This window comes from Homo sapiens, chromosome X (assembly GCF_000001405.40).
Source record: "Homo sapiens chromosome X, GRCh38.p14 Primary Assembly".
NCBI lineage: Eukaryota > Metazoa > Chordata > Mammalia > Primates > Hominidae > Homo > Homo sapiens.
The window spans coordinates 136,350,583-136,365,687 of NC_000023.11; the positions used below are offsets into that span (position 1 = coordinate 136,350,583).

At 38.9% G+C, this 15,105-nt stretch overlaps 1 protein-coding gene across 5 annotated transcripts in view, besides 1 other annotated feature; it reads left to right on the top strand.

Annotated features, from left to right (window-relative positions):
* Positions 1-15,105, top strand: part of ADGRG4 (adhesion G protein-coupled receptor G4) — a 115,928-nt gene that overhangs the window by 49,620 nt on the left and 51,203 nt on the right. For all 5 annotated transcript variants that reach the window (NM_153834.4, XM_011531269.3, XM_047441830.1 and 2 more), the window contains 7 exons: positions 865-959; positions 2,755-2,819; positions 5,544-5,583; positions 7,122-7,174; positions 8,710-8,873; positions 10,873-11,005; positions 12,895-13,013. In NM_153834.4, the coding sequence (NP_722576.3) occupies positions 865-959; positions 2,755-2,819; positions 5,544-5,583; positions 7,122-7,174; positions 8,710-8,873; positions 10,873-11,005; positions 12,895-13,013 (669 nt within the window). The remainder of the gene's footprint in view (positions 1-864; positions 960-2,754; positions 2,820-5,543; positions 5,584-7,121; positions 7,175-8,709; positions 8,874-10,872; positions 11,006-12,894; positions 13,014-15,105) is intronic.
* Positions 2,190-3,389: an enhancer, noted in NCBI's record as "P300/CBP strongly-dependent group 1 enhancer chrX:135434931-135436130 (GRCh37/hg19 assembly coordinates)". NCBI's record gives its function as "activates an origin of replication core promoter dependent on BRD2, BRD4, P300/CBP, MED14 and CDK7 cofactors, with strong dependence on P300/CBP, by STARR-seq in HCT116 cells {active_cell/tissue: HCT116}" and the evidence as "EXISTENCE:reporter gene assay evidence [ECO:0000049][PMID:35650434]".

Sequence of the window (15,105 nt, forward strand, 5' to 3'; positions counted from 1 at the left end):
AGTACCTTGTCCAAATACAAAATTCTCTAGCCATCTTTCTTGTCTTTGCCTTATTGAAATATAATGTAAATGTATGTTTTCACTCAGCATGACAATTTCTAAGCCTACTTTCCACCTGTTTTGTTCTTGACTGTCTGACTCTGATTCTGCCAATGTGCACATGGACTAGGAACCTCATCCCTTCCCAGTAAGAGAATCATACGGCCTTAGGTCTGAGCATGCTGACCACACACCAGAAAACACCAGAAAAAAACACCAGAATATATCTTATCTTGCCTTTTGGATTCCTTTTATGCAGGTCTCAGCCTTCTCCAATCCCTACCTGCAGCTGACTAGGAGTGCTTGTCCAAGGCCAGGGAATATTTGGCTTCCATATTGTTCAAATTTGGAATATTCCTGCAACTTTTAACATTCTACAATAGAAATTTGATAGGATACACAAGAGCAAAAGGGAAAAAAGGAGAGAAAAACCCAAAGCAGAAAACAAGGCACAGGAAGAAAAAAACAGTTACTTTCTCAGAGAAAATGATCTTCTGAGATAATGTTCAGTTTGGCCATTGAGTGGACTGAAAGTCTGTTGGCCAATGAGAGTGGAGAATTGGTGGGATTTGTGGAGTGTCTGTCAACTAGAAATCAAGGAAGTGCCCAAATAAAGCAAAACTGGGATGGTAACGTCCTGTTCTGCTTTTTGATATGGAGCCGAAAGTGTTGGTTCTTGACCTTGGAGTTAAATTAAGCTAAGTTTAGGCATGAGACGTTATTATTTGGTTTACTTTAAAACAGAGAACACTTTTCACCAAATTTACAGAAGTCAAATTTCTTGAACTAAATGAATAAAATTAACCTCCTTATTTTTAATTACAGTTTCCTTCTACAATGTTGAAATGAGCTTCTCTGTCTTTGTTGAAGAGCCAAGGATCCCTATTACCAGTGTTATAAATGAATTTACGGAAAATTCGGTAAAATAATCTTTTGCATATTTATGGCATATATAAATATATGTGAATATATACATTTATATATATGACAGAATATATTAAAACTAGGCTTTACTTTTTTCTACCAATAATAAATTTCACAGCTAAGTAGTTTTTTTTTTTTTGCTGCAAATCTGTCTACTCTGTAAGCAACATCATGAGAATGTATGCAATCTCTCTTTCATAGTGCCAATGTTGAAAGCTTTTATGGAACGTTATTATTTTCATTTGTTGAGATCTGTACATTTCCCTTTAGAGACACAAATTCTGAGTCTTTGCCAAATTTTCCTATTTGGGAAAAGTGGGAGAGCAGTGATAACAAAATGTATACTTAAATACAATGGTATTTAAGTATTATTGTTTTCTGCATTTTATTTCTTTTTCCAACACAATGAATGTTTTACTTATCCTTAATTTTTTCTTGATATGACTAATACATACTCTCTGTAACAAAATCAGACATTGACATCAAAAACCCAGAAAGTAAATGTCCTCTCTCTAATACTGCTCTGTGCATTAACTCCTCTTAATAGTTTAAGGTACATTCTTTTAGATATTTTTTCTGTGCATATTATAACATTGATGCATGTGTGTTCTTTTACAAAATAATTGTAGTTGTACTAGTTATGCTATTTTTCAACTTGCTCCCCCTCCTCTGCACTTAACCATGTATCTTTGCACATATTCATGCTGGTAAATATAAATCATACACTTTAACAGATGCATAGGGTTTCACTACATGGTTGTAGTATAGTTTTTTTTTTAAATCCTTTGGTGGACATTTAAGTTGTTTCTATCTTCTTCTCTATTTAGAAACAATGCTGGGCTGGGCACTGTGGCTCATGCCTGTAATCCTAGCACTTTGAGAGGTTGAGGCAAAAGGATTGCGTGAGCCAAGGAGTTTGAGACTAGCCTGGGCAACATGGCGAGATCTTGTTTTCTTTAAAAAAAAAAAAAGTTTAAGAAAGAAACAATGCTGAAAACAATTCCCTAGAAGTAAATTTTAAGGCACTTAAGTATTTTTATAGGATAAATTCCTAGAATTGGAATCAGTAGATGAAAAGATGTGAACCTTTCACATTTAAATAGCTGTCACTAAATGGCCTCCCAGATAGGTGACACCAACTTGCACCATCTCCCAACAGCAAATAATCATATCTGTTTCCCTTCTTTCCCTGTCAGCACTTATTTTCAAGTGTCTATGGCTTGGTTATAAATCCTTGAAAATGGGTGGGTGTATTAGTCTACTCAGGCTACCATAACAAAATGCCACAGACTGGATGGCTTAAACAACAGATGTTTATTTTCTCACAGTTCTGGAATCTGGAAGTCTAAGATTAAAGTGCTGGCAGAGTTGGTTTCTGGTGAGGCCTCTCTCCTTGGTTTGCAGATGGCCATCTTCTTAACTGTGTCCTCACATGGACTTTCCTCTGTGCATACGCATCCCTGGTCTCTCTTTTTCTTCTTATAAGGACACTGGTCCTGTTGGAGTAGGGCTCCACTTTTATGATCTTATTTAACCTTACATCCCCAAAGGCCTTATCTCTGAATATAACCACATTCGGGGTTAGGGCTTCAACATTTGAGTTTTGGAAAGACACAATTCAGCCCATAATAGCAGGTAAAACGTAAATGGAAAAACTTAATGGAGCAGATGGAAATGTTGAGCCAGCTGAAATAATGAGTGCAGCTTAATGATCACACCATCCCAAGTGATTTTGCTGAGTTAAACTAGAGGAGCAGAATACTAAAACTGATTTTTTTTTGTCTTGTACAGTTGAATTCTATATTTCAGAACAGTGAATTTTCTCTTGCTACTCTGGAAACCCAAATTAAAAGCAGGTATGTGAATGACATTTACTGTGGGTCAAAGGGCAATTTGAGGGCATTTTGGGTCTGTTCCTATCTGGAGGGGATGTCCTATGTTTATGTCTGAGATTTAGGGCTGCCACATTTTTAGTTGCATCTTCCTTCCTGAGTAGGTTCTTTTTGGCATGAGGAAAAAAATTGTATTACTATTGTAGGGCACAAAGCCAATGGGAGAACAAAACAAAAGAAAATCAATAGGGGAAGTCATGCAGTTAGACTGAGTTACCTCTAATGCCCTTTTCATCTCTAAGTTTCTATGAATCTGTGATTTATACAAAAATCATGCTTTGAAGTGCTATGTATGGACAATGCACGAGGATTTATAAGGCCTTTTATTTTGGAATGATTCACTTTCAGAAAAGAGAAATTCCAAAGTGAACTTGAAATGTCTAAAGCAAGAATGTTGACTAATCCAAGATTTGCTTGGGGCACAAATTTCGAAAGGTGATTGCAGTGAAATGGGCAGGCACTGAGTAGTATCATGGAAACTATGGCAAAGGCAATTGCTCACCTGAGAAGTATTTCCTGTATTCTTTCGCTGCACATATACTAGTCCTCTGTAAAGGGACACCCCGCAGAAGCTCTTTGAAAAATAGGCATGGCTCTGTTAAGCCATGGCAAACTGATTTTTAAAACATAAAATGCTACTGCCTGTCTTCTGTACACTGGGACTTTGGTTTCTCTTACATATCCAAGTATTAATTATTAATCAAGTATTAATTCATATACATATTAATAGGTTCAAGAAAATTCATATAAATGAATGGAGGTAAATGTACGGTAGGTTATTGTCTTAGTCAGTTTTGAGTTACTATAACAAAAATGCTATAGACTAGGTGGCTTAAGCCACAGAAATTTATTGCTCACAGTTCCGGAGGCTGGGAAGTCCAAGATCAAGGTGTTGGCAGGTTCAGTGTCTGGTGATGGCCCTCTTCTTGCTGTGCCCTCAAGTGGCAGAAAGCAGAGAGACAGAAAGCTCTCCTGTCTCTTCTTATAAGGGTACTGTTTCAAAAAAATTCAAACTGTTTTTTTTCCTCTGTTGTCATACCAACACAACAATCAATATAGAAGACTTCTACGACCAAACGTGTGGGGATTTTCCCCCAACACACCAAGCAGCTGACACCAGCTGGTTGTTCTCTACTTCAATTCTATTCTGGTGTTATCCTCTCAAAAATAGCTTCAGATCTCACAGGTCCCCAAGACTGCCCCTCACCCCAGACACTAGTCAAAAGTCCAGGCCTCCAGAACTTCTGACTAACTGACTTCAACTTGGGGTTCCCGTGACCCACTCTTTGAGCTTGATTAATTTGCTAGAGCAGCTCAAAGAACTCAGGTAAATACTTATGTGCATTGGTTTATTATAAAGGATACTGCAGAAGATACGAATGAAGAGATGTGTAAGGCGAGGTAAGGGACAAGGGGAATGGAGCTTCTATGATCTCCCTGGGTGCACCACCCTCCAGGAACCTCCATGTATTCAGCTCTTGGGAAGCTCTCCAAACCCAGTCTTCTTGGGATTTTATGGAAACATCATTATGTCAGCATTCCTTTCCCAAGTCTCATATGAGGCAAGACTCTTTCTGGAGAGGGTCTTAAGACTCACAATCAGAAAGGTGAAGAAAGATTAGAGTTCCGCCTTGGGGCAGGTGAAAGGAGGGTGGGAGAAGATCAGAGAGATTCTGTTTGCTGAAGCCAGCTTCTGAGGCCTAGCACACCTAACATTATAACAAAAGACTGTAACAAGGGCTATGGGAGTTATGAGCCAAGAACTGTGGATGAAAACATATGTGTACACACACACACACACACACACACACACACAGAGACACATATAACACATCAGGCACCGATTCCATTCATGAGAGTTCCACCTTCATGATCTAATTACCCCTCAAAGGCCCCGCCTCCTAATATAATCACACTGGGGATTGGACTTCAACGTTGAATTTTGGGAGGACACAAACATTCACAACATTTAACTCACTAAACCAAAACTAGAGATGTCTGGGGGTATAAAACATTCTTTTTAAAAACTGTGTCTATTATTTTTCCTTATTACAAAAGTAATATGTGACCACTGTAAAATCTTAGAGCTTTACAGAAATATATATATATATAACATGGACGGTAAAAATCTCTGAATACTTGCCTTCCCCCACCCCTTCAAGAACTCCTGTTAACAGCTTATTTTATTGATTTTTCTAGATTTGTTTTCACACATTTACTAAGAGAATAAGATTCTCCTCTACATACTGTTTGACAACTTTCTTTTCATGCTTTGTAATACATCATGTATGCCTTTTCAGGCCAATACATGCAGATATAGCTCATTTGTTTTAATAATTGTACAGGATTCTTTTATATGATATGCCATGATGTTTTCCTCCAATTATCTAGTGATGGACACTTGAGTAATTTCCACTTGTATGTCTATTTTTATGCACTTTTGCTGGTACCATTATGGAATAGATTCCAGGATGCAAGGTTAATAAATCAAAGGCTTGCCACCATTTTGGTATGCATATAATAAGCAAGCCCATTGGAAGCATTCCTCTGGAGCCCTAGCATTATTTGAATTCCAGGCTGGGAGAAGTCTACTGTTCTGCCTCAGAGTTGCCTTTCTCCTGATCTCATGCCCTGTATACTTGGTACTATATTTCATTTTCCTATAATTTTGTAATGCTTTTGATACAGGGACATTTCAGAGGAAGAGATGGTCATGGATCGAGCTATTGTAAGTAATTTTTCAAAATGAATCTACTTGTGACCTATCCTATGCCTGATTAGATGTAAGTCAATAGCTCTTCCACCCAAGTATATATTATCAGGCGAGGCTTTGTTGTGGCAATTGGGGGTCAAATTACATTACTTCCTTTGGGATTGGTACAAAAAGCCATCAAGAAAACCATCCCCTGCTTTTTTGAACTATCCATGTGGCAGCTTTTTGAGGCACATTTTCTGGTCTACAGGGATTGTAAATGGTAAGTGAATTTCTTCGTTATAGATGTCTTGCAAAAAAAACCTAGCTCTTCCAAGAGTGACACAATTGTTTGCAAGACTGGCATTCACACAATAAATCCACCCTCTATTTGTCCAGATTTGAAGCCAGAGTGTGATAAAACTATCTCCCATCATCCTTGCCCCAATTCTCAGTTCTTGTTCCATTGCCTCAAAGCTTTACAATAGCACACTCTAAAATGAGTAGCAAGCACACAGCTTTCCAGGTATTTAAGTGTGAGGTAAGTATTTGATGATACAGAATACAATCAAGCCCACAGTACAGGGGCCAGAAGCAGTGACTCACACCTGTAATCCCAGAGATTTGGGAGGCTGAGGTGGGAGGATTGCTTGAGGCCAGGAGTTCAAGACCAGTCTGAGCAACATGGGGAGACCCCATCTCTACAAAAAATAATTTAAAAATATTAGCCAGGCACGGTGGTGCATTCCTGTAGTCCCAGCTACTGAGGAGGCTGAGGCGGGGGGATCACATGAGCCCAGATTTCAAGGCTGCACTACACTATGATTGCACCACTGCACTCCAGCCTAGGTGATAGAGCAAGGCTCTGTCTCAAAAAACAAACAAACAAAAACCTATAGTGCATAGTGCATTCCAAATTATCCACTATCATTAAAAATATTTTCTGTAAATAGCTGAGTCAGAAATTTTGATATATACACATTATAGCATGATATAACTAAAATTCCTTTCAGTAACAGGTGTAAAATCCTTTTGGTGATAATATGGTCAAGCTGCCTGGGTTGGAACCCCTGCTTTTCCACTTCCTGACTATGAGACCTTGGGCAACTTAATTAACTTCTCTGTGCTGGAGTTTCCTCATCTGTAAGATGAGGACTGTTGGAAGGATAAAATGAGATCATCTATGTTAAGTGTTTAACACTGGGCTTAGAACATAGTAAATGTTTGATAGTGTTTACAATTGTCAATTGCATGTTAATATCTAGATCCAGAAGGCTTAGATTCTGCTCCTAGTTCTGTGTCTTGTCAACTGTGTGATACTGGGCAGACCATTTAACTTCTCTGTGACTCAGATTCCTCATGTAACAAAGAGGGCGACAATCCCTGTATTGCCCACCCTACAGGGTTGGTGTGAGGAGTAAATGCATTGATGTTTTTGAGGGTAGTTTGCAGACGGCAATGAGTTACATAAATGTGAAGCATAATTATATAATTGTTGTTAACAATAAGCCCTGTACTCAGTTATGACATTTGTTTAAAGATTTCAGTGACTATGTACTTTTCTTTTGCATTAGTTGGAACAGAGAGAAGGACAAGAAATGGCTACAATTTCCTATGTACCATACAGGTAGGAAGTAGGAACTGAGTTTATTAATAGCTGGCACATTTAGTTCTGATTTTCCTTCCATTTAATTCTGCATGTGCGGCCAGTTGGCCAGAGTTGTCAGAAGAAGATCAAAGTACCCAGTGATTATTTCACATATGCTGTAATTAGGTCCTTGCCTTCATGAAATATGTTGTTTCGGTTGGTCATGGCACAGGCTAGCGGCCAGCCTGCTGCCTCTTTGCAGTGAAGAGAAAAAGGGGTGGTCATAATCTGGGACGGGGGAGTGAAGTGTTTGTTTTGGTCAAAAAGGTCCACGAAACACTTGGCAGGGAAATTGGAAACAACAACAACATGGAAAGTAGCTTCGGTTCTGTTCAGACTCGTGGTCCAGCTCCTCCTGGAATGCTGGCTATTGTTGATCTGTTCGACGCACATCAGGAAGAACATATAGTCAAAAAAGGCCCATGAAGAGGTCTTTGAAATGGAGTAGAGGGTCTGTCGCAAGCAGGAGGAGAGGTTTAAAATGAAGACTCCTCTTCGGACTGGAAAGATGAAAGCTGAGAAGAGCTAGGCTCCAAAGGAAGGAGACAGGATGAGCAGGGACTTCACCAAATATAGATCAAGGGAGGGGCAGATATCACTTAGATTAGACATGGAGATAAGTTTTGAGCAAGTACAGGTATGTCTAACTTGCAACAACTGGCAGGAAACTTAGCAAATATCTTCTTCAAAAAGCCGTGTCTACAAATGGAAATGGAAAAAAGATATAGGTAAGTTTTTGTATCTGAAATGTGCTTCCTAATGGAATATTAGAGGAATTCAGAATATTTGAGGATCTTGCTGTAGAGGATAGAGGATGAAGTCAAGGACAGCTCTATCCTTTCATCAGTGATCTTTTAGTGGACATAAATACTGAGTGAGTTTTTGTGACCATGGGAAACATTATTTCCCTGAGGCTGAGTTCCATCATCTGTGTTATGGGAATAATAATAGCATTACCTCATACGGTCGTTGTGAGAATAAAGTGAATCAGAACATGTGGAGGAAGGGTTTCACAAATGTTAGCTACTATCATTATCATTATCATCATTATTACTTATTATAGAAATGAGCCTTCTTCAGAACACTTCTTTATAGACTAACTGAGCATCATATGCCTATTTGCCTGATTTCAGTAATGATGGGTAAATTGGAGACCAGAAGAATAAAAGGTTCTCTCTGAAATAATAAATCCTGAAAACTCCATCTTCTCTATTAATTATTACAAACTCTTAGAGAAATCTCAAGGCTAGCAATTTCAACACAATGCATACGTTACTGACCATTCTTTTGAAAATAGGTTTTGCATTGTCTGTTTTGGATAAGAGAAAATTTATCAGAACATTTCAGTATGCTGTCTTCCATCACTTCTTAAGATTGGCTGCTTAATAGCTGTAAAATGTTTGACATTTATGAACTACCAATTAAATCAGCTGTACAGAATTTCTGCATTGCAGGCCAAGTTGCACTCCCTTGACATAACTGCAACAATCTTTCTTTTTTATTCTGCTTTGTAGTTGTGTTTGTCAGGTCATCATAAAAGCCAGCTCTTCCTTAGCATCCTCTGAATTGATGAGAAAAATCAAAAGTAAAATACATGGCAACTTCACACATGGAAACTTCACACAAGATCAATTGACGTTATTAGTAAACTGTGAACACGTTGCAGTGAAAAAACTAGGTAATTTTTTTGGGGGGTGGATATTGCAGTATGAACTTACTTCCTTTATTATAAAACTCATAATGCATACTTGGTTAAGGATTCTGAGTTCAGAAAGGAGAGAAGTCATCTTTCTGTTTTTTTTTTCATATTCTTGGTACCCACTTGATCTGATGACCTTTCTACCTTTAAGAACTTATGGAAGAACAGAATGCTGGAGGAGTTACCAGAGACTGCTGGTCAGCTCTGGATATTAGCAATGGCCAATCCGTCAATGGAATGGGAGGATTTTCTCTCTTGCATAAATACACAGAGACCTGAAGAGCTTCCTCATTAACACACAATAAATGCCTAATAGATACTTGCTAATTTATTGATTGATTCAGCCATCTTATTCATCTTGGCAAGTGATCAGGGAACTGTCCCAGATTTCTCTCATGGGGGCATTCTCTGATTAGCAAAGCTTTACTGGTAAAAGTGCAAGGCTACCAGGCCACTCCACCTCCTTCCCAGTGCAGCTTTGTTCCTTTTCCCCAATAGACTGCTGTAGAAATCATTGAGCTCACACAGCTCTAATGCCAGATAACACACACAGGCATTAGAACGCACAATCCTTGGCAACAGACTAATTAAGTATAAGAGGGCAGCCTGTGACGGTGCAGGGGTGTGAGTGAAATGGGGGGCAGAAACGTGTTGAAGCCACAGGTAGAGCCCAACATGTAAATGACACTAATGAATGTGTCCTAAGAATGAGAGGAAGGCACCTTTCACCCTCACTCAGAATGGAGACTGGGATAGCTGAGCAAAGCTGGCTGGGCCACTTCTCACAGCATTCTCTCAACACCTGAGGGAAATATTTCCAGAATCAGGGTCATGAAACCCAGTAAGTGCTCAGAAAAAAATGGGAACTTATCATATAGACTTAGCCCATGTCACATCTCCCTTCGTGTGACAGCAAAACCTTGCCTTAACAGCCCTATGTGGAAGTTTGCCCTGTCCCTCAGCAACATCAAAAACAGAGCCCTAGACTGTGTGCAGTGGCTTACACCTATAATCCCAGAACTTTGGGAGGGTGAGGCAGGAGGATCACTTAAGGTCAAGAGTTTGAGACCAGCCTGGGCAACAAAGCAAGACGCTGTCTCTACAAAAAATAAAAAATTAGCTGGACATGGTGATGCATGCCTGTAGTGCCAGCTTTTCAAGAGGCTGAGGCAGGGGGATCACTTGAGGCCAGGAGGTTGAGGCTGCAGTGAGCCATGATCACACCATTGCGCTCCAGACTGGGTGACAGAGTAAGACCTCATATAACAAACAAACAAACAAAACAGAGCTCCCCTGTCTATACTGATCATGTCAGATACACTGAATTTACTAAAATGAAATCCATCCCAGAGTCCATTAAGAAGGGGGCCATTCCAGAGAGAGAAGTTCGTCTATAGTCTCCTGTCTTTGGATATAAAACTGCTAACAGTGGGTATCTCAGAAGCTGGGCAATTGGTAGGTGGGAACTTTTGACTTTTGACTCTACACTCCACCACGTGGCTTGAAATTTTTCAATTCTTATGTATTGTTTTAAAAACAAGACAGAACAATGTCAGGTGAGGTGGCTAATGCTTATAGTCCCAGATCTTTGGGTGGCTGAGGTGGGAGGATTGCTTGAGGCCAGGAGTTTGAGACCAGCCTCTATAACATAGCAAGACGCTGTCTGTACAAAATTTTAGAAAAACCTATCTCATCAATTCGTTGTTTTAATGAAAAGGACTAAATATGTGGTTATACTGGGTGGTTTATTATTTAAAAAAAAAACACTCCATATAATGATATTTTCAATAAGGCCTGGTCCAAATGGCTAGGTAGAAAAAGTTTTCTTTTTTATTTGCTGATCTTTACGTGCAGCATAATAATGACGTTCATAATAATATATAATATTATATTATTATATAGTAATAATAATAATGGATGTTTGTAATACTTTTAAGTGCCTCTTGTCCTTTAAAATGTGCATACATTTTCTCTGTAGAGCCTGGAAATTGCAAAGCTGATGAAACAGCCTCTAAATACAAAGGGACCTATAAGTGGCTATTAACCAACCCTACGGAGACAGCCCAAACCAGATGCATAAAAAATGAGGATGGAAATGCCACAAGATTCTGGTATGTACAGGCCAAGTTCTAATTGCTGATTCAGATATACAAAGATCTACCTAATTGGGGACATGTTTCTATGTCATTTGTCTGAGCATGCTCCCTTCCTCCACCTCTAGTGCCAGTCTTTCTTTCTATTACCTTTCGTACCTGTTTAAACATACATGCAACATAACAAGAAAAATTTTCAAGGAGACAAAAGATAAAAGTTACCCATCATCCCAGAAGAAAATTCAAGAAGACAAAAGAGAAAAAAGTCACCCATAACCCCACTGCCTGAACACAGCTGTTTTTAGGTTGGCATATATTTTTTTCATGTAACCTTTCTCTGTATGCCTTTAAGTTTTATGTAGCAGTAATCACTATTCTTGTATCAATAATGTAATTTACCATTTCATTCAATGGTTTATCAAACATTTTCCATGTTTTACATTTATTATCTTAATGTTCATTTCAAAATAACGACCTTGGAAACCATCTAGTTGATGGGCTATAGTAATTTACTAAATCACTTTTCTATTGTTGACTTTATCATTTTCCTTTTTAAAATAATCAGCCCTCTTTTCTCACTCTCTGCTGTTCATGGTTTATGCCATTAACTTAAGTGGGCAAAACCAGAGGGGCAGCAGGTTTTGACAGAGGCTTAAAAGCACTCTTTTAGAAAGCAACATTAGGGGCTTTCCTTTTCCTCCCTGTGTCTAATCAGTTGGCAAGTCCTGCAGCTTTGATGGTCATAGTCAGAGCCCACATCTAGCCTTTCCTTTCCAACCCCACTGCCACTACCCTGGTGCAAGCCCTTATTGCCCACTATTAGAGCGGTCTCCTTGCCATCTAACTTAACAGTATCCCTTACCCGCCTCCGCCAACTATATTCTACACTGCTGCCAGCATGATTTTCCTGAAGTATGGCTGCTATCATGCCACTGTCGTGCTCCAGCTCCACATTGCCTCAAGAATTAAGTCCAAACCCCTAAATATAGTCCAGACCGTAGGCTTCCTCTCCTGCTGTCTCACTCAGCATTCTCCCTCCCTTTATCATACGCTCCAGTCAAAATGACCATTTGCTGTTCTGGGCTCAATGGACGCTTCCTGGTGTCTCTTTCTCTGCCTGTGCTGTTTGCTCTTCTTGGGGTTGGGGGAAGAGATTTTTCTCTACCTCTGTCCTTTCAGCACACAGCTCAGCTCAAATGCTGAAAGTAACGTCTCTTTCCTTGGTAGTTTGATAGATTCAGTTTTGTTTATACAGCTTTTCATCTTATATTTGCCCTAAGTTTCGAGTAGTTACACTTAGAATTTTAAACCCCCTAATTACAAGTTCCTTGAGGGAGGGATGAAGCCCCACCCTGTTTGTGTGTGCTACCTATTACCATTCCTAGAATGGAGTGGGTGCTCAATAAATGTGTTAGCTGACTTGAAATGAACTGGCTTGAATTGGGTGAGGCACAGGGGAGGGTGGATGATGAGGGCCGATGGGCCATCGAGGGTTCTATATTAATTGTCTTAAGTTAATATGCTGAGATAGAGACCACATTCGAACAGGAATTTCCCCTTAAAAGAGGAGTAAGAAGGGACAGTGAGAGGAAAGAGTCATGTCTAGAGGACCAGAATCTCTGTCTTGATGCTTGGTCAGTAGGACATTGCCATGCCCCATTCCCAGCTCCCTTACCTGTTTATCCACTCCCCTTCCCCCTTCCCACATGTTGACCCTAGATTCACTTGCTCCCTAAGAGCAAAATTTCTTCATTTCACAAAGAAGTACTGGGCTCCCACCTTTGCTTTCTATGCCAGGAGGCTTGGGGCAGGCGAGGAGAAGGCATGCTAAGGCTATATCCACCATTTGCTTTAAGACTATCTTTGCCTCATCCTCTGATGAGAAAGCTCTTTCCTCTCTTTTTCAGTTCAATCAGCATCAACACGGGCAAATCTCAGTGGGAAAAGCCAAAGTTTAAACAATGCAAATTGCTTCAAGAACTTCCTGACAAGATTGTGGATCTTGCTAATATTACCATAAGTGATGGTAAGATTGTTTTGTACATATAAGACAAATTATGGAACTTCAATTACTTTGCCTACTTGACCCCAAACCAGAGAGAGTATAGGCAAACCCCACTTAGGAAAATCTACCTTACGACAATCCAATTTCAGAACAAAGGTAATTAATGTTGGTGGAGGTGGTGGTGGGACATGAGATGTTAGGACTATCAGTGTTTCAGTGATTTTTGTTTGTTTTTGCTACATATATATATTTGAGATGGAGTTTCGCTCTTGTTGCCCAGGCTGGAGTGCAACGGCGCAATCTTGGCTCACTGCAACCTCTGCCTCCTAGGTTCAAGCAATTCTCCTGCCTCAGCCTCCCGAGTAGCTGGGATTACAGGCGCCCACCACCATGCCCGGATGATTTTTTCTACTTTTAGCAGAGGCGGGGTTTCACCATGTTGGCCAGGCTGGTCTCAAACTCCTAACCTCAAGTGATCCACCTGCCTCAGCCTCCCAAAGTACTGGGATTACAGGTGTGAGCCACCGCGCCTGGCCTTATTTTACTTTTTCGGCTAATTATTGTTTTTATTTTTTTTTAATTTTTAAAAAGTTTTAATAGGTAATACTTCACTGACTTCAATACTCAAAAAACAAAAAGAGTATGTGTAAAACATCTCCCTCCCACTGCTGACCTCAGCCATTCAGTTACTATCCACAGAGATATTTTATGGATCCATAATGAAATGTGTATACATATTTGTGTATGTGTATATTGTATACACACATATACTTGCCCTCACTTTTTGTACACAAAGTGGAGCATACTATACACACTATTCTTTACGTTGCTTTTTTCTCTTAACAATATATTGCAGAGATTATTATATCAGCCTATAAAGAATTTTCTCTTTCTTTTTTCCCCTTCTGCATTGTATTATATATACCACAATAAATGTGCCACAATTTATTTAACCTGTTTCTTATGGATGAGTATTTAGGTTGTCAGTAACATTTTTCTTTGAAAACAAGACTGTACAACTATTTTTGTGTTTTTTTCATTGTAGGGAAAATACTATAACATATTTTTAAAAATACTCACATGTTTGATAGTGTATAAGATGTTTTAGAGTTGGTATTGTCTAAGCAGCTGATATAGAAGGTTGCATTTCTTTCAAAAATACATTTGTAGACCACATTAGCTTTTATTTTTGTTTGTGACACTGTTAGCATAATTCATATTATTAGGCAAAAGAGATTCAAAATAAAGAGTATCTCTTTTAAAAAACCACTGCTTCGATGAATATTACATATATGTCAGAATTTTGAGAAAGTAGGGGTATACCTAAAGCATAAATCCTTGAATGTAGAATTTCTGGGTCAATCATACTTTTGATGGTGTCAAAATGCTCTCTGTAATAGTTACAGCAATTTAGATTCCCACTTGCAAATTATGAAAAGCACCTTTTTCGCAACTCCTTCATCAACACAGCATGTTTGTTATCAGACTTCTGGATCTTTTTGCGATGTGATAAGCAGAAATTGATATCTCAATGTAGTTTACAAACTTTTTAATGGAGATATTTACATATCATAAAATTCGCTCATTTAATGTGTACAATTTAGTGGGTTTTTAAAAGCATATTCACTAGATTGTGCAACCATCATCACTAATTCCAGAATATTTCATCACCCCAAAAAGAAACCCTGTACCCATTAGCAGTCTCTCCATTCCTCCCCCACCCCAGCTCCTGGCAACCACTAATCTACTTTTTTGTCTCTATGAATTTTGCCAATTTGGGGCATTTCATGTTTCTGAGGTTCATCCAATGTTGTAGCATGTATCATTGCTTCATTCCTTTTTATGGATGCATTATATTCCATTATATAGATATACCACATTTTGCTTATTAATTCATCATTTGACAGATATTTCTTTTCCATCTTTTGGTTATTATTAAAAATCTAGCTGTGCACATTTATGTACAGATTTTATGTAGACATATGTTTTCAATTTTCTCGGGTATACACTGAAGAGTAGAATTGCTAGGTCATATAGTAACCCTATGATTAGCTTTTTGAGGAACTTCAAAACTGTTTTCCACAGCAGTTGTGCCATTCTACATCCCTGCCAA